The sequence below is a fragment of the Homo sapiens genome, chromosome 8, assembly GCF_000001405.40.
Source record: "Homo sapiens chromosome 8, GRCh38.p14 Primary Assembly".
NCBI classification, from domain to species: domain Eukaryota; kingdom Metazoa; phylum Chordata; class Mammalia; order Primates; family Hominidae; genus Homo; species Homo sapiens.
In genome coordinates, this window is record NC_000008.11 from 140,101,060 (window position 1) to 140,128,639 (window position 27,580).

Genomic DNA, 27,580 nt, shown 5'->3' on the forward strand with positions numbered 1-27,580 from the left:
CATTTATGTTTTCTTATTTGTCCTTCCTCTTCTAGCCACAAGCCATCTTTTGGCCAGGCAGCTTTATTCCAAATCAAAATGAGCATATCTTTTTCTTTGAGACGGAGTCTCGCTCTGTCACCCAGGCTGGAGTGCAATGGTGCCATCTTGGCTAACTCCAGCCTCTGCCTCCCAGATTCAAGCGATTCTCCTGCCTCAGCCTCCCAAGTAGCTGAAACTACAGGTCCACACTACGATGCCTAATTTTTGTATTTTTACTAGAAATGGGATTTCACTATGTTGGCCAGGCTGGTCTTGAACTCTTGACCTCAGGTGATCCACCCGCCTCTGCCTCCCAGCTAGAATTACAGGCCTGAGCCACTGTGCCTGGCCATTAAAATAAGCATTTTAAAATACATTTTTAGGTGCTGATCACAGAGAAATATTTGAAAATTCTGGTTACTATGAACTTGGGTTGGTTTTGTAGGGTTTTCTTTTTTTTGTTTTTTTTTTTTTTTTTTGAGACGTAGTTTTGGTCTTGTCACCCAGGCTGGAGTGCAATGGTGCAATCTCGGCTCAGTGCAACCTCCGCCTCCTGGGTTCAAGCGATTCTCCTGCCTCAGCCACCCAAGTAGCTGGGATTACAGGCATGCACCACCACATCCAGCAAATTTTTGTATTTTTAGTAGAAATAAGGTTTCACCATGTTGGCCAGGCTGGTCTCAAACTCCTGACCTCGGGTGATCCACCCACCTCGGCCTCCCAAGCTGGGATTACAGGTGTGAGCCACCATGCCCAGCCTGGTTTTTTGTTTATTTTTTGTTTTTTCCTTTTTTTTTTTCTTTTTGGTAAATTTTGCATGAGGAAAGGAATGTCTTCAGAGTTGGGAAAAATATTTATTTCATGATGTTCTGGTATATCAATATTTCAGTTGCTATTTAGAATGTCTTATCCCAGTTAAATATCAGATTGGCTCCAGAAAATGCATATTGGAGAGTAGTGTGCTTTTTGTTCCATGTGGTTTTATATGCTGTTTTGTTGGTTTGTATTTGCCTAGTTACTAGAGTCCAAACTGTAACAGAATGTAGTTAAAACCAGTGATTAATGTAACTTATGATGCTTTGTAAGAGACAATAAATGTGGTATTTGGGGTTGTTGCTGTGATTACTAGTGCAACTCAAAATTATTGCTTCTCTCAAAGTTTGTAACACTCTGTGTTAACTTTAATTTTTAAAAATATGTCTAATGTGTTTTCCTGACTACCCAGGTGGAAATGAAAGAAAGAGATGTAATAGACTCATGTGAATTTAATGGAAAATCTTAGCCTGGGTCTCAGAGAAATTGAAATTCTTATAGATGTCTTAAGTTGGTATTTGGCACATAGTGCTAGACAATAAATATTTGTCCAATAAATAAAATACCAGCCTCCCCCCACCACACACACACACACACACACGCATGCACGCACACACACAGACATAGACATGGGGGAGAAGAAGACATAGTTTACCATGTTCTCTCCCACACATAACTTCCTCATTGGCTGGTCAACACACAACTCTTGGTTTGGTTTGGTCCTGCCTAGTTCACTGCTTACTTCTGTCTCTATCTTCTGATTAGAGTAGGTTGAAGGGAAGACAGAAGGAGAAGAGACTGAAGAAGTGAGCAGAGACAAGTTTTTCAGGAGGCCGGCCTGCAAAGGCCAACAAGAATGGCAGTGTGGACTCGGAGTACACATGGCTGCCTCTTGCACATGATGCTATCTTGCTGTATGATTCTGGGCAAATACTTTCAAGTCCTGCCTCTCACTCTGTTCACCCCCACTGAGCGAGGGGCTGGGCAGGATAAAGCTCAACCCCCCACATGCCTGTGGCTCCCATTTTGAGGGAGTTGCAAAGCTGAGTGTCTGAAGCGCCAGGATCATGTCTGACTTACGAAGATGAGGCATAATCCTGAGCAAACAAGCACCCAGTGATGAAATGAAGGGATGCTAGAAAGCAGGAATTCCACTAGCAGAAGGAGCATGAAAGACCTGCCGCTCCCCACTCCCACAGCACAGACGAGAGGACCGAGGGATGGGAGGTAACAACAGAGGGTTAGCAGTAGGGTTTCCTCATACTCAGCCTGAGACACCCTCCTTAATTACATCAGCGCTCTCTTCCAGACCCTCGATGACAATTGTTTACGAGCTTCCCTTTTTCAGAAGCATTTTTAGTGCAGCATTATCGGGGCAAATATTTACCTCCCTGTGCCTCAGTTTCCTCATCTGTAAACCAGGACTAGTAATAGGACCCACCTCGGAGAATTGTGAAGATTAAATGACAGAGCTCACGTGAGGCAGCGCCTCTCATCAGGGGCAATTCTGTCCCCAACCCCACCCACAGGGGAGCTTTGGCAATATCTGGTTGACATCCTGGTTGGTACAAGCGATTGGGGCAGGAAGGGACCCTACTGGCCTCCAGTGGGTTGAAGTGAGGGATGCTCCTAAACATCCTATATCCTGTAGCCCCCTCCAACCGCAAAGAATTATCTAGAAAAAATGTCATAGTGCTGCTGTTGAAAAGTCCTGATGTGAAATCTTAGAATAGTGCCTAGAATCTAATAAGTAGCAATGAAGAATAGTTGATACCATATTACTAATGATACCTTCATGACTACAAAGCACTCTCCTTAGCCATGACGCTATCTCAGCTGGTCTTCACAATGACCCTCTGAGATACACACGACTATTCTTTTTACAGATGAAGGTACTAAGAGGTTCTAAGACAAAATGTGACTTGCCAAGAGTTACCCAGCTAAGAAGAAACAGGATCAGGTCTTGAACCTGGGCAGCCCAACTCCTGTGTTCTTTCCATCACTCCACCCTCCCACCTGGGAGAGAGAGACAGTGTATACCACCAGCTGATTCCTGAGCAACAGAAATACGCGTTTTTGAGCATATCAATGAAGATATCTGAATAATTTATTGGCATGCATCTCTAAATCCAGACGCTGGACCATCCCTTTGCTTCCTATGTTTATTCATTCACTCAGCAGTTACTTAGCACTTATCCTGGGTACCAAGCATTGTACCATATGCCAGGCTGGAGATGCAGGGATGAAACTGTCTCCTGGGAGGGCAGATCTGTAAACAAAGAATGACAGTAGAATACATGTGCTACACTGTATGCCAGGGCTGTCGGCTGTAAGCATAGAGCTATGGAGCCAGATGAAAGACCTCTGCAACAGCCTGAACGGAACCAGGAGGGCTCCCCGCTCTGCAATGGGTCTTGAAGAACGAGGCATTTTCTAGGAAGATCAATGAAGAAAGATGTTCTCGGGAGGGAGAAATATGAGGCAACATGGAATATCATCAGGAATAAAGATGACTGAGACCCTGCGATCTCTGAGATACTCACAGGCCCGTGCGATAGTTGGATATCTAAGTGGGCACTCATGATCTTAGACAAATAATATGCAAGTAGTATGATGGCACGATGGGGGGAGCTGTGAACTAGCTAGGGAAACAGATGAAAGAGGCCAAGTTTCTCCCGATATTTTCAGCCACAGTCTGAAATGCAGCAGCTCTGAGGCAGGGAGATGACAACGCAGGCGGCAGGAATGCTGCGTCACACACAGGTGCTGTAAAAAGCTACGACACACACCCTCCTGGGGGTGCCATTCCCCCAGCCCAGGCACCAGGCCCGGACCAGCTGTAGTTACCCAGCTAACAGAAGAACGGTTCACACCGACAAGGTACTTCTTAAACATCCTTCTTGTGATTAGGACATTTCCCAGAGTTGCCTCGAACTGAAGCCTTACTTCCTCTTTCTAACCCTTTTAGAAACAGTGTTAATGGCGACATTTAACGACATGGAGCTCCCTGAGTTGACTCTGCCTCCGCTTGCCCCCTGGGCCTGTCATCCATGCTGCATCGTGGCAGGGTCCCACTCAGCAGCAGCCCTGACTGCGTGGCTCCTGGGACAGCCCAAACGTACTCAGCCACCACTTGGCCGGCTCCAGCCACCTGCCCCCAGGACTGAAGGTTATGCAGATACACAGACCTGGTCCATCCTCTTCTACCCTCCCCCAGGTCTCCCCTTTCCAACCCCAGCTCATAAAGTCCTAGGTTCCTGTTTCTTACTGTGATTAGCAGCATATCATTGTCATTAGTGGCCTCACCCAGAGGCCTCATGTCAAGGGAAATGGCGACTGTGCTCAAATAGTGGTTGACGCATAATAAATGGTCTATAAATATATGGCAAATTGATGGATGAATTGGTAATTTATTCTGAACAGTCAGCACTTCTCTTGAGACTTCGGCTAACACTGTTGAATCTGTCTCCCCCTGGTTATCCAGTTTGATTCCCTGGGCTGGTCGGATGGTTCCTTCCTGGCCACAGTACAGTGCCTTTCTTCCTGGAACTACTGGGCCTCCTTATTGTCAAGAGAGAAAAAAATAACTATACTTCATAAAGACACCTGCTTAGGAGAGAAAGCAGAGCGCCATGTGTATAAACCCTCCTGACGTGCCCTATCTTTTCACGCTTCCCTCCCTTTGAGCACCCTGTGGACCTTTCTGGAATGAGCTCCATCTATGCTTCTCTTACCCACCTGGTAAACACCTCGTCTCCTCCTAGATCTAGCAGTACCTCCTCTGTGAAGCCTTTCCTCAGCTCCTTCTCCCTGCCCTCTTTATGTCTCCTCTGGGACACTTTCTTTTTGTCTTTAATCGCATCTTCATTACCTAACTCACCCTGTGGGGGGAGGCTCCAGGAAGGAGAGAGACTGCATGCAGTCTGAATCTCAGAACACCAGAGGGTCTGTCCTCAGTGACAGAGGGCCAGCGGGCAGCACTACCAGGCTGGCCACTCCTTCATAGGAGACCTTGTGTGGCAGAAGGGTCTGTCTCTCATCTTTCCTTAAAAGCAGAAAGGACGAGAACGAGCAATCAAAGGTCCAAGCCTATCCAAAGAGCTAAATCACCAAGTCAAATGTGGATTTTGTAATGATGAACTAAAAAAAAAAAAAAAAAGTCTGGTGCTCAGATCAAAAAGCAACACCAATGACAAAGTGCGGGATGATGAATCACACAGGGCTCAGCTCAACCTTCAGAACAAAGGCAAGGTCAGTGTTGCCAGGACGAAAGCCTCTCCGCCTGCTTCCTCATTCAGCACCTGAACAACAGCCATCAGATCGTGCCATCAGAGCAGAGGCCCCGGGTCCCAAAGAATCAACACCAGGTTCGCATTTTTGTGTCAGACAGTCGTTCACAGAAAAGCCAGAAAAGTTGCTGACAGGTACCTAGGTAACTGATTTCGACTGAAGATCAAAAAGAATTTCCCAACTGTCAGTTATCCCAAAACTAGACAAGATGCCTGAGAGGGGATTGCCAGTTCCTAGGCAAGTTCACACAACATCAGTCACTGAGGAATGCAGGTCAAGCCAGGCCTTGCCAAGATGCCCGCAGGGTGAGTGGATGTCACGGCCTATGGGGCTGCTGGGATGGTCATTCAAAGCAACTACACATGGAGGGAGCAGACTGTGAACACCAGCTGTGTTCTTGGTCGTGGGGGAGCGAGGGGGCAGTGAGGTAGGACAGGGAAACACAAGCTTTGGAGCAAGAGAAACAGACTGCAAGTCTTTTACTGACCAGCTGGGTGACCTTGAAAAGGCCATTTCACCTCTGAGACTCAAATTCTTCCCACGAAAAAAAGAGGATAATGCCGACCTCAAACGTATTGTTACAAGAACGAAGCAAGATAGCCTATATAAAGGGCTTGAACAGTGCCAAGCTCCACAGAGATACTCAGAAACACAGATCCCTTTCCTGTTTTTCTCCTTGAGTAGTACTGATCTTTACATCCCTGGCAATTAGCAAAGTGCCTGGCACATAATACAGTCTTAATAAACATTTGCAAACGTTTACATTTCAGTGGTGCCTCTGTTCAAGATAGGAGTTCGGATCCTGAGCTCCATGAGCGCCAGAAGTCTAAGAACCTCCAGACATAGAGAGGAGATTTTGCGTGTGTGTCCTTTCTTTTGAGGGAATGATCCATGGCTTTAAATTGGAGATTCAAAGAAGTCCTTGGCCAAAAATACAGCAAGGACCACCATACTACAGGCATTGAAACCACCACCAGGAGCATATCCTTCTTCTCCTCCCTTCTACTCTGCTTTCAAGTCCTGGTTCAATTCAAATCCCCTCCTCTGAAGTCTCAGAGCACTTACTGTCTGTACAAGGTCTTAGTAATTATGAAATCTCAGATCCACAGGAAGGTAGAAATGGAAGGCTTTTTACGGTCATTCCTTTGTTTATTCGCTTACTAAGTATTCAGTTCAGCTCCTCCAGTGCACCAGGCATGGTGCTTTATGCTAAGACCAGAACATCAAGTAAAATGGAACAGTCCCCACCCTCAAGACAACTGCAACAAAGATAAAACTAAGTAACTGGAGAACTGTCATTGTAAGAGAACCGAAGGATGCTATGAAAGGGGCATGTAGCCAAGCCGTCCAGAATTGGAGGCAAATGGTACCGTGGGAGTGGCCCTCAGTTCCAGCAATGCCTCTCAGAAGTGACACCTGAGAATGGAGGAGGAGAAAGCCAGTGCAAGGGAGAAGAGGAATGGTGCCTCAGGCAGTAGGTAAGCATGGCCAAGGCTTACAGGCGAAGGCATGGAAATCATTTCCTTGTGGCCAGGCCACAAGACAGCCATGAGAAGAGCTGAGGCAAGACTGGCCAAGGGTATGGGCTTTATTGTAAGGGAGATGGGAAGGCATGCATGGCGCACTCTGACTGGGGGTCACGGAGGCAGCACAGAGACTCAATCTGTGCAGGGCAGAGAGGAGTGAAACATTTAAGTCTGGCAGTTTCCATCTTGCCCACAATTTAGGCTAGGAAGAGCAAGTATGAGGCTCCAGGTTTTCAAAATGTGTGTGGTGGGGGTGGGGTGTAGGGGGATGAGACAGACAGACACGCACACATATATGCATGTAGATATGAGGATACGTGTGTTTATACATAGACAGGTTATCCTCTGGGTGATATCCGAACTCACAATTCACTGATTCATAATCTGTGGAGGATGAATGGAGAAGGGGTGGGGGCGGGGAGTTAAGAATTTCCCAGTACAGTCCTCTGTTTCCAAATAAGGAGACTGAGTCCTAGAGAAGGTAAATAGCCAACTACATAATTATCAAACAAGTCTCTTAGTTATTTGGAAAACCAGAATCAGAAGCCAAACTGCAGATGCCCAGCCCTGCACCCACAGCCACTAGGGGCACAGCCCTTCATCACGTATCTTAGATACCTGGCAGCCTCTCAGAGTGGATGGGCAACACTTGCTCAATTCTGATGAGCTAGTTTGGTCTTTCATCCCTAACCTAGTCACACAGAAGCTCTGCACAATTCCCAGCATAGTCCCTGACACAGAGAAGGCGTTTAAAGCCAAGTGTCCATTTGACTTTACAGCATTTTGGTAGCACAAAGCTCCCGCTCGCCCCCCTTGCCCAGGGCGCACCTGGCCCCGACATCTACGCCTACCCTCACAGGCCTCCCAGGTGTGTATGACCAGGAAGATAAGTTGAAAGGATGAAGCCTGTTTGAAGGGTGGTTGTCAGACTCCCCGACCTTAGAAGAGCATCTTTCTGATGGTGTTTTTTGTTGGGTTTGTTCTCTGTTGTGTCCCAGTGCCTAGAAGCACACGTGGTATGCAGAAGGCCCTCAGCAAGTATGCAGGGAATTAACTGGCCAGATGTTCCTCATGACCCGTGTAGTTAATATTTGGCTTCAGTCAGAGCAGCGTGACATTTATCTGTTATGTATTTGGGGGATCTGTGAAGGTTTCACTTGAAGCAACATCCTATGACTAAGAATAGATTGAAAACCACTATCCAGAGGGGAGATATTTTTTCTTTTCCTTAGTTTCGAGAAGCCTTTTTACTTACTGAAAAACAGTGCAATATAAATGGAGTTTCCAAAAACCAAAACAGAGGTAATTTATAACTACCCAAAATACTTTACTTTTCCTTTCCGATTCTGAAACAAATGTGATTCCAAAATGCCTCTAGGTACATGTTTGGATTTTATAAAAATTATATAATGAAAGTGATGCCTCACAAGCAAAGGGAAGGCGAGGTCGACACAAGCCTCTCGCCATCCGTGGGCCGAGCACAGAGACAAATGGAGGCCCCCCTACCTGCTGAGCACCAGGACAACCCAAGTGATTCCAGGACATTCTGAGATGGGGAGGGGGCACTAATAATAATTACTCCAGGGCAGTATGAACAGGGCCTGTCTCAGACAAACTGGGGCATAGGGCACTCTGGTAATAACCAGCAGGAGGTCATTAAATGCAAGGTCACCACTGGTCAAAATGGATGATTATCATCTAGGAGGGTCAAGTCCTAGCAAAATATGATTGCCACTCAAAAATACGAAGAGAAAACAGACCATGTGGTACAGTGAAACTAACATATCTGGGTCTAAATTCCAGGCCTGCCATTTACTAGCTGCATGACCTTGAAAAAAATACTATACAATTTACCCCTCAGGGTTAAGGATTAAATAAGAAAAAAATATATATGAGTGTAATCTACTGCACCTTACTGTATTCAGGGGTTGTGGGTATAGTGAGAAGCAGCTAAGGGTCAATGGTGCCTTCCCATTCCACCCTGTCAAAAACTGGGGAATATGGGGCAAGTTATTGAACCTCTCAAAAAATTCCTTTCCTCATTTGCCAACCAATAACCTCTCCCACCTGAAAGCATCAAAACAGAAGGCAGACACAGCCCAGTGTTTTACCCTGGGCCACGCAGGCCAGCCTGCCTGTTTCCTGGTCTGATGAACACTGAGGAAGGTCAACAGAGGCTGGGGAGACTGGGCTTTGAAGCCTTGTAAAAATTAATTACACTTAAATCCTTCATGCTGAACATGCTCTGTATGCTCCTCCTGATTTGCTTATACCCTCTGCTGTGTTCCAAGAGACAGACTCAGGTGACAGCATCAACAGGCTCCGCATGCCCCTGAGCTTCTGGCCAGGCTCAGCCCACGGGAGGCCCCAGATGAGACAGTGGAGAGTAGGGCCGCAGTGGTTGCTCCCCTGACCCTAGACTGCCAGGCTCTGCTCTGCTCTGCTCTGCTCTTCCCAAAGAGCCCAGCTGCCCTCTGGCAGCAGCTCCCCCATGCACCCCCTGTGGTAGCTCCCCCTACAGCAGCTCCCCCTGTAGCAGCTCCCCCCTGCACCCCCTGCAGCAGCTCCCCACATGCTCCCCCTGCAGCAGCTCCCCCTACAGCAGCTCCCTCCTGCAGCAGCTCCCTCCTGCAGCAGCTCCCTCCTGCAGCAGCTCCCTGCTGCACCCCCTGCATCCCCCGTGGTACCTCCCCCTACAGCAGCTCCCCCCATGCTCCCCCTACAGCAGCTCCCTCCTGCAGCAGCTCCCTCCTGCAGCAGCTCCCTCCTGCAGCAGCTCCCTGCTGCACCCCCTGCATCCCCCGTGGTACCTCCCCCTACAGCAGCTCCCCACATGCTCCCCCTACAGCAGCTCCCTCCTGCAGCAGCTCCCTCCTGCAGCAGCTCCCTCCTGCAGCAGCTCCCTGCTGCACCCCCTGCATCCCCCGTGGTACCTCCCCCTACAGCAGCTCCCCCCATGCTCCCCCTGCAGCAGCTCCCCCTGCACCCCCTGCAGCAGCTCCCCCTGAACCCCCTGTAGCAGCTCCCCTTATGCTCCCCCTACAGTAGCTCCCCCTGAAGCAGCTCCCCCTGCACCCCCGGTAGCAGCTCCCCCTGTAGCAGCCCCCCCCTGCAGCAGCTCCCCCTGCAACCCCTGTAGCAGCTCCCCCCGCACCCCCTGTAGCAGCTCCCCCCATACTCCCCCTGCAGCAGCTCCCCCCTGCACCCCCTGCAGCAGCTCCCCCAAAGCTCCCCCTGCAGTAGCTCCCCCCTGCAGCCCCTGCAGCAGCTCCCCACTTGTTTGGGTAACTGCTTCCTCTTGTCCTTCTACCTGGAGGGTCCAAAGTCCCCAGCTGCTGATAGCCCCAGGCTGCTTCCCATGCCTCCTGGGTTTCCCTTCACCACCCAGGTCCTTGGAAAGTCCCCTTTATTCAACTGTCCCCAGTTACCCCTCTGAGTGTGCTGCCTGTTTCCTGTGGGGACCCTGACTGATACATCCATTAAAAGCCCCTTTCTTTTTCAGTTACTCCTCAGTTTGGGCCTTAAACCTGGCACATGCTGACCAGATTCCCTGAGGCTCAGGTGAGGTCAGCTCCTCCTACCAGGCAAACTCAGAGGTCATTACCTTCAAGACACCCATCCAGACTCTTCTCCACCTGCCTCTGCCCAGGCTGGCCTCAACACCTTGGCCGCCAGCTCCATGAGCACCCTAACCCCATGCTGTGCTCCTTGGTCACTTACTGTTGCTGCCTCTGGAACATGGTGGGGGGAAGCAGGAGCACAGAGAACAATGTACATCCCCCACTCCCAGCCCCTTCCCTAACAGCACCTGGAACGAGGTGGGCACTCAGCGACAGCTGCACTGATGCCCGTGAGCAGAGCAAGACGCCCAGAGCAGGTCTCCCTAAGATACAAACCTGAGTGCATATGCTCACATTTCTCAGGGATGAGAGTCATGCATTCATTAAAAGAGTCCCAATGTGTGTATGAGGACAACATAGAACTTTCCTTCAAAATGGAGGTAAAGCAGAAAGGAAAGACACTGACAGCAGGATTTGCGACTCGCTGTTAAGAACAAGGCAAGATACTTTGTCCTGAAAAAGTGATCGGTGTGATAGATTAACATACAGAAAACAGTGGGCAGATAAAACTCCTTAAAATATTTATGGCTTTTGAGTGATTCTGAAAAGAGGCAAGCTCTCCCTGTATGCGCCAGCACACTCCATCAACAGGGACATTTTAATAAGGTGACTCCTGCAGGAGGCTCAGGCGCAGGCGCCATGGCAGGACTTGGTGGTATGTTTCATAAAATATTCACAGCTTTCTCCAGAAAAGAACATCTTTGGGTAGCCCTTCTCCTTCATCAACTTGGCCACTTTCATAAACAGAGGAGGAATAATAATACTGACATGTCAACGGGAAGCTTTGGCTCGCCTTGCCTTGGGCACGAGGAGAGTAATGGAGAATTCCAGACGATGGTGCGACAGGTGCAAGGAGAGTAATGGAGAATTCCAGACGATGGTGGGACAGGTGGGAGGAGAGTAATGGAGAATTCCAGACGATGGTGGGACAGGTGCGAGGAGAGTAATGGAGAATTCCAGATGATGGTGGGACAGGTGCGAGGAGAGTAATGAAGAATTCCAGACGATGGTGGGACAGGTGCGAGGAGAGGAATGGAGAATTCCAGACGATGGTGGGACAGGTGTGAGGAGAGTAATGGAGAATTCCAGACGATGGTGGGACAGGTGCGAGGAGAGTAATGGAGAATTCCAGACGATGGTGGACAGGTGTGAGAAGAGTAATGGAGAATTCCAGATAATGTCAGAGCTCCCGACCAGTAAGCCTCCATTTCATGTCAGGCACCAGGCTGGACGCTGGAGATGCATGATTTTTCATCCTCTCAAGAGATCTATGAACTGTCCCCATCTTTACAGAAGAAACTGCAGGTCAGAGCCGGTGGGTTCGTCATTATCTCCTAGTCTCATAACATCCTGTCAGATAGAATGGCCACATTCACAGGTGGAGACATTCTGCTTAGAGGCCCCTTTTAATAGGTGGCCTTGCAGATCATGAGCTGCAATTCAAACCCAGGTCTGTCTGGTTTGGGTTTGCATCATGCTATATCCTAGACATATCACTATTTTTTAATTTCCTTTTTTTTTTTTTTTTTGAAATGGAGTCTCGCTCTGTCACCCAGTCTGAAGTGCAGTGGCGCAAACTCAGGTCACTGCAACCTCCGCCTCCTGGTTCAAGGGATTCTCCTACCTCAGCCTCCTGAGTAGCTGGGACTACAGGCATGAGCCACTGCAGCCAGCCTAAATTCCTCTTTTCTTGACATCAAAAAAAAATTCTTCCACATAATTTTTCCTTTGCTTACTTATATATGAGAGAGCAGTTGGGAATTTCAGGGGTTGGAAATATGTCTAGTATTATGTGGGGAGCAGAGAGATTGGTGAAGAAAGTAAAGAGCACAGGCCCAGCAGTGACTTATGTCCTGTGAAGTTTCGACAAATAGAACATAGTCCCCTGGACAGAGGGTGCTTCATTTCAGGGAGATTGACACAAGCAGCGCCATCCCAGGCAGCATGTGCTGCATCATGGGGAGGCTGAAGCCCGCTCTCAAACTCATAGCGGCAGGGACGGTATTTCCAGCAGGACCATCAGGAAAGTGTCCAGAAGCAGGCAGCACACAGAAGGTGGGCCTTTGAGAATGAAATGACACAGATGTTTGCCATCACTTACCATGGCAGGATGAACTGTTTTAAAACAGCAAAAATGTCGGGTGGTGATTTCTATGTCAAGGATGGGGAGAGAGACCACCCTTTCCCGGCTTCAGGGTTGCAGGAGCAGGCACCTGCCTGGCCACTCACTGCTCAGAGGGAGTCCTGGGCGTGGAGAAGTCAGGGAGGAGACGCCAGGCAGACTCAGCGGGGACCCTCCACTGTGAACCTGGGCTCTGCCTGTCCGTAGGAAGCAACTTCCACTTCCTACGCCCCAAGTCACAAAGAGGCAGGTTCCTCAAGTTTTGGGGGATAAGTTCAAGTCCAGGGAGTCTCCGCAAGCCCATGTGAGTAGAACTGATCCACCGAATTCTTCACTGCCAACTTGATGACTGGTGCACATACAGTTTTCACCTCCCAACCTTTAATTGGCCCTCAACTCAAAAGACCCTCTACATGTCCACATTAGAGTCCCTGACACAATCAAAGCCTGTGAAGCTGCACCCACGCTTCCCACTCGATCGGAAAGTCAGGCCTGCTCATCTGCGGAACTTCTGGCTCATTTATGTAAGAGCTGCCTCGAAGTCTCTGATCAGAATTGACTGCTTCCATAATCCCTCCCTAAGCCCTTCCTTTGAGTGAGGTGGCCTCTTGCATACTTCAACAGCACCCAGTATGCACCTCCAGTAGCATAGCTGGTAGCTGGTCTGAGTTCCTCACAAAACTCACTCTGCTTCCGAGCGGGGACTGTTATTCCTGTTTCCAATCCCCTCACCTAAACTAACACCTCCAGGTCAGAAGGCTGTCCTTACATTTGAGGAGTAAATGGAACACCACCCCCAGGCCATATATCCAGCGAGTCAGTCAACAATGAATGTCTCTATGTGCCTAGTGATGGGTTCATAAGGACGAAAAGGACTGAAGAAAAAAAAAAAAAAAAAAACCTCACAAAAGAAAATATTCCTAACAGCAACTGCTGACGTTGCAAAAGACACATGGTACTTTAGGCCCATGTAGTCCAAAGTAGAAATCTGATATCATAATGTCATTAATTTGACTGTTCTCTTCGACAAAAATTTGAATTAAGCTTGATCAGAAAGATGACATTAATGTAGCCATCCTTGGCACCTGATGGTAAAATCTTTAATCCCAGCACAGGAAGGTATCATAATAGGACCATCCGTCACCGATGCAATCATTTGATAATTGCTTTTAGGCCCTGGGTCCTTACATCCAAGACTTAAAGACAAAGAAGGAGGAAAGAGGTGAAGTGCCTGTGATTAGGAGAGCAAATATGTGGCACGTGAGGAGGAAGCATATGGGAGCGGGAGGGAGAACCGCAAAGCCTCCTCGGAAACAGAAAAAGTTTCTGTGAGAGGAAGGAAGTGAAAGGAGCCAAGAGACAAGAGGAGGGAGGGAACTGTCGATGATCCGGAATATGTGAGTAATAACATAGGACTCAATGAAAAAGATGCAATATCCACGGAATAATACATTCAATTAAGTTCAGTCAGGAGTCTGACTACCTCCTGAGAGCTGGGTCTGTGCTAGACCATGGAAGGAGAGAGAAGAATAAAGCAGGACACTTCCTGACTGAAGGAAGCCCACAATGTAAGCAAAGTAAAACTGCAGGTAATAAATGACAACAGAGTGTGCTAATTGAAGCAATAAAAAGTGCAGCCATGGGGAATTGGCTCCAGGAACCCCACAGACACCGAAATCCTTGATTCTCGAATTCTGGTATAAAATGGCACAGTATTTGCATGTCTACTTACCCACATCCTCCCATGTAATTTAAATCAGGTCTAGGTTACTTACAACCTAATACAATGTAAGTGCTTTGTAAACAGTTGTTATAATGGTTTTTTTTTTTTTTTTAGATGGAGTCTTGCTCTGTCGCCCAGGCTGGAGTGCAGTGGCGTGATCTAGGCTCACTGCAACCTCTGCCTCCCAGGTTCAAGCAACTCTCTGCCTCAGCCTCCAGAGGAGCTGGGATTACAGGTTCCTGACACCACACCTGGCGAATTTTTTTGTATTTTTAGTAGAGACGGGGTTTCACCGTCTTGACCAGGCTGGTCTTGAACTCCTGACCTCATGATCCACCAGCCTTGGCCTCCCAAAGTGCTGGGATTACAGGCATGAGCCACCGCACCTGGCCATTATACTCTATTTTTTTGGTTGTATTATTTTTTTTTCTCCAAATATTTTCAATCTATGGTTGCCTGAATCTAAGGATGTGGAACCGGCAGATGCAGTAAGGCCCAGCTGTAGAGTGAATGCACAGAGCAGGGGCTGGATAATCACCTGGGACAAGCAGCCTGGCGAAGGGGAGAGCATACAGCCTTTGGAACCAGATTTGGGCTTAAAGGCTTGTTCCACACTTACGGGCTACGGGTCACTGAGGATGCTGTGCCCGGGGCCCTTGTTCTCCTTCCAAGGGCCAGTAATAGTCACCCTCCAAGGGACGGTGTGATGAGCGAATGTGACAGTGCTCGTGAACACCTATAAGACCACCTGGCGCACAACAGGTGCGGATTATGATTATTACTGGGGGAAGGAAAGACTGCATAGAAGGCAGTGCCTGAGCACAAATCAGAAGGAGCTCACGAGCATAAAAGGTGAGGAAGGCTGTTCCCAGCAGAGGGGGCAGCAGGCACCTGGCAAAGAGGTGTGACAAAGAACAGTGAGCCCAGCAACTGCACGCAGGATATGAGGGGTCAGGGGAGAGGCAGGGGCAGGGTGTGTGTCTGTCTGATGGGCGAAGGGGGTAAATTTTTTATTCTTAAGGCAATGAGGAATAACGAAAAGGTTTAAAGTAGGGTGAGATGTGATCGTACCAGCATTATAGAAAGATCATGCTGGCAGCTATCTGGAAGCTGGACAGGGTTTATTTTGCACCTGTTAAAAGAGTCCATGGCCAACTTTCGGAGGCAGGAAATTCATACCTAAAAGTAACGATTATCACTCCCCTAGAGGCACCAATTCTACATGTGACATGTTCTCTCCTTGTGAAATTTCAGAGGAATCCAGTTAAGCAGCCAACTAAGCACTCATTTTCTTCCTTTGAGAGAAGGTAAGACTTGTACAGAACCTGAGGGAAGATGATGAGTCATTTGTTTGGCATTGCCGTTATTTTATTGATGCTGATGCCTGTAATTTACAAATTTTAGGGGACCATTTTAAAGAGTCACATATATCTCTCTAGCACTAAAATTGATTCATGATGCTATTGTGTTTTAAAGACAATAAATGCTTGCTGTGGTTTTGAGAAGTAACCCCAGGCGCTGCCCACGTCTGGGGTACACACTTCTGGCAGCAGCGGACAAGCTAGAGAGAAGAGATCTATGGTTTCTCAGTCCAAAGGTACCGTAGAGGTTCCCTACAGGTGGGGCAGCAGCGACGGTGGGGCTGAATAGGCGGAGTTCAGTGAGTAGGCGGAGTTCAGTAAGTAGGCGGAGTTCAGTGAGTAGGCGGAGTTCAGTGAGTAGGCGGAGTTCAGTAAGTAGGCGGAGTTCAGTGAGTAGGCGGAGTTCAGTGAGTAGGCGGAGTTCAGGCTCTCCCACACCAACCACCCAGATACAGCCAGAGCATCCGGCCACAGGCTGGATCCACACGAACAGGAGGAGGAGATGTCCTCTCACCTGAAGTTCTAACACCGCCCCATTCTGACCCTTGAGCCAGTGGGGTACTGTGGGAAGAGAAGGGTCTCTGGAGTCTGAGAGTCTTACTGACTTAACTGTGCACACCATTTTGACACACTAAGACTCAGTTTCTCCATCTGTAAAGTGGAGATAATATGTTCTTTGTAGACTGGTGTAAGGATAAAAATGAGATGATACATGCAAAGTGCTCACCACACAGTAGTCATGTCTTAGTCTATTTTGTGCTGGTGTAATAGAATACCTAAGACTGGGTAATTTATAAGGAAACAACAATAAGGTAATTTATAAGGAGCAACTGGCTCACAGTTCTGGAGGCTGGGAAGTCCAAGATCAAGGCTTTAGCAGGTGATGAGAGCCTGGTTTCTCTGCTTGCAAGATAGTACCTTGCATACTACATCCTCTGGAGAAGGACACGCTGGTTCCTCACATGACAGTAAGACAGAAGGGCCAAGAGAGCCCACTCCCCAAAGCTCTTTTATGAAAGCATTATGCCCACTCACAAGAGCGGAGCCCTCATGCCCTAATCACCTCTTAAAGGTCCCATCTCTTAACATTATTATACTGGCAATTAAATCTCAACGTGAGTTTTGGAGAGAACAAACATTCAAACCATAGCAAGACATATGATGGCAGCTTTTATTTAGTGCTGAGCAGTGAAAAAAATAAACATAGGAAGTGAGTGAGCCTCTAACATGCTGCGTAACAGAACTCACTGAGCAGCAAAAGTAAGCTTGATGTTTTTTTCTCTTAAAGAGAATTTGGAAAATAAATTCTGATTCATCACTACAGTTACAAGATACAACATCAAATGCACATTGTCTAGAAAATAAAAAATAGATTTATCTCAAGCTAAAGAGCTTCAAAGACCAACAGTGCATTTGTAATTTACCTCTCATGACTGAACTATACCATTTACCTGCAACCACTAGGAATTTGAAGTCATAACTGTGTAACTAATTTAGAGCTTACAAAGTCCATACAAATATATTTTCTCATTTACACCTCATAAACTCTATGAGATGGTCACTATTAATCCCATTTAAATCAGAAACCAAGATTTGCTCCAGGCAAAGCTCCATGAGATGCACGTGGGTGGCGCTTTGATACCGAGGAGCAAGACCCCAGTGGGTACAGCACCCACAGAACAGACCAGCCGCCTGGAATGGGAACCAGACAGGAAGTTCAAGTAAGTCCAGCTAGAACAAAGCAACTACTGCAACACACACTTTACCCCCAGAATATAGGTAGCGCCTGCCATTACAGGTGATTAGCAAATGTTTAATGAATGAACGTCTACCATTTCAACTGTTATGGCCTTCAAGAGGCTCCAGAGATTCCGTTAGTAGTCAAAGGATTCTGTAATGTCTGAGTATCTTAGTGGACACCCTGTGAAGTCTCTTTCTAGCCCACAATGGTCTCCTTCTTTGGGAACTGTCATCTGTGCACAGGAAAGGCCTCTGATAGCCATGTCTGTCACTAAGGGGCTCAGGGCCCACTGGCCCCAGGTGGCAGGAGCAGAGAAGGACACGTAATAGAAGCTGGGCCAAGAAGATGCCTCCACCTGCGGGTCTGGAGTTGGTGCTGAGAGAATCCTATCAGGGCTGTAGGTTTCACCTGTCATGATGTGAACTGGGGGCTGAGACAGCTATGGGTGAGGGGAATGGGTTTGAAGCAGCAGAGGAGCCAGTGAGTAGAAAAAGACAAAGGAAGGACAAGAAGCCACAGAGCAAGTGACAGCACTTGAGCGACAGTACACACTGGTGCAGAAAGCCTGGCAGGCTGGTTCTGAGGACTCTCCAGCCCGGGTCCCACCTGCGGCCTGGCCCTGCAGTGTGTCCTGGCTTCCTGTGAGTCACCAAGCTTCCCCTAGGACAGTCCCTCTTTGGCTTAAGACAGTGTGAAGGTGATTTTGTTAACTACCGTCAAGGGTCTTCATTTAAACAGGCCCCTTCCAAATGCAGTCTAATGTCAGGCCAAGGCCATCTGAAATGTAAGCATCTGCAGGAGACCCAGGTAGGCACAACAGTGTCACAGCAAGATAAGGCAAGGAGAAAAGAGGAGCAGAAAGCCGGAGTGCACAGCAGGAGAAGAGGACAAAAAGGCAGCCAGCCAAACCACGCCAGGCGTGGCGTCCTGCAGCCAGCAAGCACACGGGGCTGTCATCTGGAATGAGTTCAGGAAACTCAGGCTAATTTTAGCCATAGCCTAAGAAAACTGTGATCAGGATGATGAATTGGCTAAACAAAAATGTTATGCATGATAAGGCAAAACAGAAGTCCTTTCAGGATGGCCCCTCAAGCAGTTCCTCCCAACCCCCTTTCCCGCAAGTCCCCACCACGCCGCCAGCACCACTGACCAGGGGCATCCTCACTCCACGCCTCACCCCGTGAGTTTTGGAGAAACTCACCCCGCAAGTTTCTGGCTGTAAAGTGCTTTCTTCTTCATGTACAACTCCCAGCCACCCTCTAAGGGCTTCCACAACCTAATGAAGATGAATGTAATCCCTTAAGGCATTTCCATAACCTATTAAGTAATTAGACCGTCACATATACACACTTGAGTACATAGTAACATTCCCATCTTTGGGGTTAAAAACTGAGGTAAGAAGAGGTCACGCAATATTTTCAGAGTGGCTCAGCTGAGAAATAAACCAGGGAATTTAACCAGGTCTTTAACTCCAAATTATTCTACCTCATACCATGGGGTCTCTCAAATGTCACCTTCTCTATTAAAACCTTCAAAGTTCCTCTAAACCAGAAAGGAACCCCCCTTCCTCTCACCTGGGCTCCTGTAGAACTGTTTGTGGGCTTCTCAAAGTATTTCCCTCCATCTCCCTCTAACCTACTTCCTTCTATACACATCTCAGTACCCTTGGCAAGACTGAATTCCTTGCTTCCTAGTCCCATTCAGATTCCAGGATGCCACAGTTTCACATAATGGGTGGTCAGTAGATGTTGAGAAAGTGAATGAAGATAAACTGACATAGCACATCCTTTAGGATTTATTTCTTAAGGTGAACCCCTGGGTGTTTGGCATGTATGTGTTCAGCACTGGTCTAGGCACTGTGACAGATAAGAGGTGACACAGCCCCAGCCTTGAGTTAGATAACGTATACCATGCATCCACAAGATAGAAATTAAGGCAGCTTTGAACTCCAACAGAAAATACCTTCAGCTCAAAGTATGGTGTAATTTCTTTTCCTTATTTACCAGAAAAATAAACAGAGCCAGCACCAAGCTGAAATGATGAATGAGGCGGGTGCTCTTCCAGCACCTCTCCTCAGCAACTGGAAGGAGAGATCGTTAGCATTTCCCTGATTAGCAAGCTGAGTTAATTAATACAATATAGAGTGCTTCTCCCAGGAAGGAATTTTAAATAGATTTTGTTTTTAAGATTTTCACTTCCATACAGCTTTTCTGCAATACTCTCATCCATCTAGCCTCCATCTATCCATCCAACAACCATTCATCCATCTATCCAACATCCATCCATCCATCCAACATCCATCCATCCATTCATCCATCCATCCATCATCCAACATCCATCCATCCGTCCAACATCCAACATCCATCCATCCATCCATTCATCCATCCACCCATCCATCCAACATCCATCCATCCATCCATCCAACATCCATCCAACAACCGTCCATCCATCCATCCAACATCCATCCATCCATTCATTCATCCATCCAACATCCATCCATTCATTCATCCATCCAACATCCATCCATCCATTCATCCATCTAACATCCATCCATCCATCCATCATCCATCCATCCATCCATCCAACATTCATCCATCCATTCATCCAACATCTATACATTCATTCATTCATCCATCCATCCATTCAACAGCCATCCATCCAACATCATCCATTCAACCATCCATCCACCCTTTCAATCAAGATGTGAGGGGCATATGCCATCAACAAATACTGTGGAAGTTTCTGAGAATACAGAGGTGAAATTTTTTAAGGGTCAAGGAACAAAACCCAATCACTAGGCAAGATGTTGGGTTCTCTAAGAGCTCTCTATCAACTTTCCCTCAGGATATCAGGGATGCCTCCACTGAGGAGTAACCCTGAAAGAAAAGTAGGAATTCACTAAGCCACATATTTATGTGGGAAATTTAAGTGAGGAAGGGGATGAAAGGAGATTTTTAGGGAGAGAACACAGTGGGTGCAAAGGCCTGAGACAGAACAGTGTGATCAGAACATCCATGGGCCTGGGTGTTGTTGGACCTTGAGATGCAAGAGGGACAGTGTTAAGGGTCAGGGTTGGAGAAGCAAGAAAGGAAAAGACGATGGAGAACTTGGTTTATCTAAGGAGTTTGAGTTTTATTTCAGAGCCATGGGGAAATCACAGTCAGATTGTCACTTAAGATACTCTGGCAGTAAGGAAGAGGCAGGAAGGCCAGGGCAGAAAGTGCTGCAGTGACCCAGGGGAGAAGTGGTGCAGGCCTGTGGCAGGGCCCAGGCAGCAGCAGCAACAGAAGCCCCAGAGAGGACAGAGTGGATTCAGAGAGATGACCTAGATTTTCCTGCCAATGTTATAATTATAGGCACACTGTGAAGTCATTACCAAAGGCAAAATTGCATGTCTATCCTATTGTAAACTCAACTATAGGCCCTTTGATGAAAAATCAGTGGCTTCCACTTCACCATCACTTATTAAAGGGCTCCTCTGGAGAGCTCTGTGCTCCTTCCAGTAGGGGTGAAAGTGATAAATACAGCAGAGTCGTGTGTCTGTAGGGCAGGCTCTTAAAGGGGTCCCATGATCCCTACCCTCTGGTGTTCATACTACTATGTGATCCTCTCCCCTTGAGGGTGTGGGTGGGTCCTGTGACTTGCTTAAAGCAGAGGTGGTAGGACCTATGTGATTACTCATCTATGATTACATTACATGAGACTGTAGGCTCATGTTGCTGGAGTCCATCTCTTTCTTTCTTTCTTTCTCTCTCTCTCTCTCTCTCTCTCTCTCCCTTTCTCCCTCCCTCTCTCCCTCCTACACTGTCTTTGAGGATGCAAACAGTCATGCTGGGAAACTTCAATGAGTCAAGGATCTGCAGGTGGCCTCTAGATGCTGAGGTGCATTCTTCAGCCAACAGCCAGCTAGAAACCAAAGCTCTCACTCCTATGACTACAAATAACTGAATTCCACCAACAACTGAAGGGAGCTTAGAAACAGATCCAACCCCAGTTGGGCCTCAGATGAGACTGCAGCTCTGGCCAACACCTTGACTTCAGCCTTGTCAGACTCTAAGCAGCTTGTCTGACCCAGCTGAGCCATGCCTGGACTCCTGACCCATAGAAACTGTGTGCTAATTAATATATGTTGTTCTAGGCCACTACATTTGTGACAAGTTGTTAGAAAGCAATAGATAACTATTGCATATAGTAGGAGTGAACAAAAGTCTTAGATCCAGTTCAGTGCCTATATCTGCTATTTATTACCTCTGTGACTTGGGTTAAGAGACAAAAGCTTTCTAAGCCTTAGTTTTCCCTTTCTAAGAGAAATAATGCCTACATCCTGATGTTTCTGTGAGAATTAAATTTTTTTAAGTGTATATCTAAGTCCAACACAAAGAACTCAATGCCTCTTCTGTACCTCAAAGACTGGGTAATGAGTAGGGAGCGGCAGAGAGGAACAAAGCTGCCTCAGGTGTCTGAGGAGGGGATCCATGCTGCAAGGCAAGTGTGCAGCACAGATGGGAGGCAGGTGACTCAGCCATGAGGCTCAGGAAGCCTCTCTCGAGAAGGGGCACCTGAGCCCATCTTGAAGGGCCCCGATGATTTTGTGAGGCTGGGGTCAGAAACATGGGATCCACAGCCATCCCGAGCACGAGGTTATTCACAGTTTGCATAGACTTAATGTTTGCTGGATGTGCACATCGAAAAGTGCTACTGGGTCCTATACATTTTTATTTTTATTTAATGTGTTGAGCAAGATGCACCCACACAGCTGCCAATCTGACATCTCTGTTTGGATGTCACACAGATACCTCAAATTACTGCCTCTGCAACCACATTTCTTACTTACCCCTTTAAATCTGATCCTCTTCCAGGCTTCCCCATCTCAGTAACCGGCCACACCATCCACCTTGTTGCTGGTCACTGTCCCCGACCCCTCTTCAGAGCCCTTCCCACAGTCACGTCCGCCATGACACCCCACTCTCACCCAAGCTCACAAGTGCTCCAGCCGGACCTCCCACTGCCACGCTTGCATCTTGCACACATTCTCCCAAGTGGATCTGTTTTTAAGTGAAATTGCACATTTCACTTTCCTGCTGAAAAACCCTTCCCTGGCACCTGCTGCCTCTTGCTCAAATGCAGACCTCAGACCCCTGCACGTGCATGGCCTTGCAGAACCCAGACTTGCCAGCTCTGGACTGGTCACATCTGCTCTCCCTGCCCTGCCCTCACAGCCCGGCCACACCCACTCTGCCATGGGCATCTGGGGTACTGACATACTGCTTCCTCTCCAGCCACGAGCCCCACCCCAACTGCACAGCTGGGTTCTTCTCACCCCACTGCACCTTATTTATTCCATCATGCCCCATGTACTTCTCGCACATCACTCATCAAAAATTATAGTTGCATAGTCTTCTGTTGCTTATTTATTTTCTGTCTTCCCAGGAAAACTATAAGCTCCACAAGAGTAAGAACAATCGGTGTCTGTTTGTTACTGATAGTATACTAGGGGCCAAACAGTGCCTGGCCATCAAAGGACACTGCAAAGTATCTGATGAATGAATGGAAGTCTTGAGTTCTTTGTGAGGAGTGCAGGTGAAATGGGTCCATCAGGAGAGGCTAGGTTATGCTGTGGTAACAAGCAGCCTCCAAATCTCAGTGGCTTACAACCAAGGTTCATTTCTTCACTGGACAGGCTCTGGTCCATGTCTGTCTCACTCTGGACCCTGGCTGAAGCAGCAAGTGTCCCCACCAGGACTTTGCTCACCTTATGCTGGAGGCAAAAGAAAGATGGCCATAGCCCCCAGCTGGTTATTTAAACTTCTGCTCAGCAGTTTACATGTGCCCCTGTATTAGGTTCCTATTGCTGTTATGACAAATGATCACATATTTAGTGGCTTAAAACAACACAAACTGATAATCTCCCAGTTCTAGAGGTCAGAAGCCTGCACACCAGCATGTCTCCAGGGCTGCGTTCCTGGGGTAGGGTGCAGGGGGGGCTCTGCCTGAGCCCCTTCCAGTTTCTGGAGGCTGCCTGCTCTCCCTGGCTGTGGCCCCTTGCTGCATTGCCCCAGCCTCTGGCTTCCATAGTCACAGCCCCTACCCCTCTCTCTGCCCAGCCCTACCTCCCTCTTGGAAGGACCCTGGTGATGACACTGGGCCCATCTGGATGATCCAGGATCGCCTCCCCTTCTCAAGGTCCTTAACTTCATCACATCAGCAAAGTCCCTTTGGCTACGTCAGGTCACATGTACACAAGGTCTGACACACAAGGTCTGAGCATCGGGACGTGGACATCTTTGGGCGGGGGGGCATTACTGCATCTACCATGTGCCCCGGCCATTCACAGGGGCCAAAGCAAATCACAAACCCAAGCCTGACACCACGCAGGCAGGGAAGCACAGCCCCTCACAGGAAGACCCTCAGAGGGGAAGACCCTCGCGGGGGAGGACCCTCCGAGGGGAGGACCAAAATCACTCTCGAAGTCTGAAGGCAGTGAGGTGGGGGTATAATCTCCCACAGGGAGGGCAGCATATACCTGGCAGTAATCAGAGAATCTGCCATAGTAGGGGTGATCAATGGGAGAAAAGAGACTTATTTGGCTCTAGGAAATATTAATACGTAGTTTCATATTTTGTAGAGCTTAAAAAGAAGACCTTTGGGTTTCAATGTTGCCATTTCTGGAAAGAAAGCCCCATACCCTGAAGGCAAGTTCTTGATAAAAATTGCAGGGTGTCACTGTCCCCCAACCAGGTGGCCTCAGATAAAACCCGGACACTGCTCTTCACATTCTTCAAAGAGAGATGGCAACATCCCCTGCCCACCTCCTCACGGGGCTGCGAGGGGAAGTGAGGCAAGGGACAGTAGCAGGAGCTGGGCCGATGGTGATGCAGCAGCCGAGGTCAGCAGGCAGAGGCCCACCCAGAGCTCGGGGGCGGGACACGGCCTCCCTAAGGGCCTCAAAGGTAACTGGCCCAGGGGCACTCGGAGGGAACCACCAAGCTGGGTTGTTTCTGGGAAAGATCACTCTGGAAATAGGGGAGGCACCGAAAGGAGTGCTGCTCAGCAGACGGCTGCGGTGACCCAGGAAGCATCGACGAGAACCTAGTCACTGACACAGAGCAGGGGCACGCAGACCACGGGGTCAACTCAGGTTTATGAGGTCATTGCTAACTGGCATGGAACTCTGGAAAGCGCGTCATCTGTCATTTCAGAAAGCATGGCAGTGTCTGTCCGGGAATGGCAGCAAGGGGAAGGTGTGCAGGGGACCTGTGGGTGACGGGAACATTCTAGGTCTTAGGCATGTTCATTTATCGAATCTCATTCTTTTTTTTTTTTTTTTTTTTTTTTTGAGATGGAGCCTCGCTCTGTCACCCAGGCTGGAGTGCAGTGGCGCGATCTCGGCTCACCACAAGCTCCACCTCCCGGGTTCATGCCATTCTCCTGCCTCAGCCTCCTGAGTAGCTGGGATTACAGGTGCGTGCCACCACACCCAGCTAATTTTTTTGTACTTTAGTGAGACGGGTTCATGTCCAGATCCTTGTTTGTTCCAAACCTGCATGTTTGAGAGAAACAACGATTAGACATCTCCTTTGAGCCAAGTGCCACGCTAAATGCCTTTTTGCACTTGACCATCTTTAATTTCCAGAGCCCATTGAGAGGAGGGTTTCTCTCTCTTGGTTTGAAAGTGAAGAAGTGGTGTTAATTTCACCGTGTTAGCCAGGATAGTCTCGATCTCTTGACTTTGTGATCCGCCAGCCTCGGCCTCCCAAAGTGCTGGGATTACAGGCATGAGCCACAGCACCAAGCCTGTCAAATCTCATTCTTTACACAATTCAAATGAGGGCATTTTGCGGTACGTAACTTCTTCCTTAGTAAAGTTGATTTGAAAGAGATTGTCAAGCAGACTCGGAGGAAACCAGATGAGGGGCAAAGCTGCTCTTAGCTCTTCTCCTGGCTCTCCAATGCGGGGTATCCACTGAGATGGCCAGGGAGGGAGAGGACCAGGCTGGAAGAGGAGACACGGTGGGCCCCATCTGGAGCATCTTAACCGTGAGACACTAGACAGAGGAAAACGACAGGTCCATTTCAGAACCAGACTCTCAGGCACCAGGTTCCAAACAAAGACGTTAACGAATCAGCCCCCCAGTCCCATGTCAAGGAGTTCTCTCAAGGAACGTCGGTGGAAGGGAATTCGAACACCCCGTCACGAGAAGTTCATCAGACACTCGTAAGAACATCATATTTGATAGCGATAAAAGCTCTGAGATAGGGTCCAATTTCGTCTGCAGTTGAATACAAGCAGCACAATGATCCTGAAATTAAATGACATCATCTGTCACAACAGCAGCTTTCTAATTTGAATTACAGCACTGTGGAATTTTAAATGAAAAAGAAACATTTAATTAGGACAGTGTATTTAGCCAGAGCATAAGTAGCGAGAAGTAGCTCAGTCTGGCTAACTTTACCAAATCTCATCTCCAGGCCCCACAAAGGCAGAGATGTGGAAGGGAAGCCTTGAAATCCTGCAGGGTGGGCCTAGCGTGGCAGGTGTGGGGGCAGGGAGTGGACTCACGGGCGCTGTGACCCTCAGTATTTGGACGACACTGAACACATCACTAATTGTGCGTTCGCAGCTTCATGGCACACCACTGACAGCCATGAGCTCTCATCCTCACCCGATCCTTTCCCAGATGGGGCTGGGTGATAGACGAGGCAGAGAAGAGCTGGGTCTGGAACTGGAGTCTACCTTTCTCCAGCAGCCATGTCTGGGCATCTCTAACGTATGTATCTGGAGACACCGCTTCTTCACTTTCAAACCAAGAGACAGAAACCCTCCTCTCAATGGGCTCTGGAAATTAAGATGGTCAAGTGCAAAAAGGCATTTAGCATGGCACTTGGCTCAAAGGAGATGTCTAATCGTTGTTTCTCTCAAACATGCAGGTTTGGAACAAACAAGGATCTGGATAGAAGCTCTGTGAGGCATGCACCAAGCCTACCTGCGTGATGGACAGGGGCTCAGGACATATTTATCCACTGACTGAACAAATGAATGGATGAATGAACAGAATCATGAACATACACAACCAACTATGTTAGAGTAGGAAGAAACAGAATTAAATTTATTTTTGGTGATTTTAATCATACATCATACCCTATAAAACGCATTATCATACAGCTCTCTTCAATCAGATGCTAAGCATCTTGAGGACAGTGGCCATGCTTCATCCATGACCCTATCCCAGCAGTAAGGTTGGTACCTGGCATGGAGCAGGCCCTCAGGAAATATCCACGGAGCTAAAGAAACAAGTATCTCTTGGCCTCCTTGATTTAGAATCATGTTAAGGATGCAGGGTTTTTTATAAACCACAGATTTCACTGATAACAAAAATACATATTCCAGAAATAATTTCATTTTATCAACAAACATTAAAGGAGATACGTTCTTGATTGCAAAGGCATTCCCATCACAGGAAATAGCTACCATATCCAAAAGCATTGCTCCTATACAGAAACTAGCATGAGACTAAAACCATGACACTAAAAGTCTCAGTTTACAAATTTGTGTTGCTCTACCAGCTTCTTTCTTGCCAAAAATGAGTCCCCAAGAATATAAGAGCTAAAGTGAGTTTACTAGATTAACCTGAAGTCATAAATTCTAAAGCATAAATTCACCTGTATTAAGAAAGTGTAAGCAGTGTGGTGGCTTTTGCAGGGTGAGTTATAAACCAACAGAGATAGCATCTACTTGCCTTACTAAAATGATTCATGGTGAAGAGCTAAATTGGCTTTTCAGCCAAAAACAAAGACAGCACAGACAATGGCATATACAAAAGTTAGAATTTACAATTGTGTTAATTTGTTTTTATCAATACCAAAGGCAACAAATGTTTATCTTACTTTCCTGTGGCTCTTTAGTTGCAGCCTAATTCAGATCACCATAGAACAGTTCCATCACAATTATGCTCGGTGGTGAGACAGCCCAAGTGTGGTTTCATTTACTTTGGAGCAAAGAAAAAAAGAAAAATACACAAACACACACACACAAGTTTTCATGGAAACCAGCTCCAGCTCTGGCGTAAGCAAGCCATCCATGGGAGATGGCTGGTGCTCACAGAGAGACCACAGTGGGTCACCCTGTGCCCAGCCAGAATGGAGGCTGCATACAAGAAGCAGTGACTAATGGTCTGAGGTTAATGAGCGGCTAAAGGCCAAGGGTGGGGACAAAGGCTAGGGTATAAACTGTGTCCAATTTTTCCAAAAAAGTCTGGGTGAGGCAAATTCATTCTCTTTGAGAGAAGTGAAGGCAGGAAACTGGCACTAATTGAATACCCACTGTGCTCCTTGTACGGCAGATCCTCAAAATGATCCCGTGGGG

General features: G+C 47.7%; 1 protein-coding gene across 16 annotated transcripts in view; it reads right to left on the reverse strand.

The window, feature by feature from the left end:
* Window positions 1-27,580, reverse strand: part of TRAPPC9 (trafficking protein particle complex subunit 9) — a 730,855-nt gene that overhangs the window by 373,335 nt on the left and 329,940 nt on the right. The window lies entirely within an intron of this gene.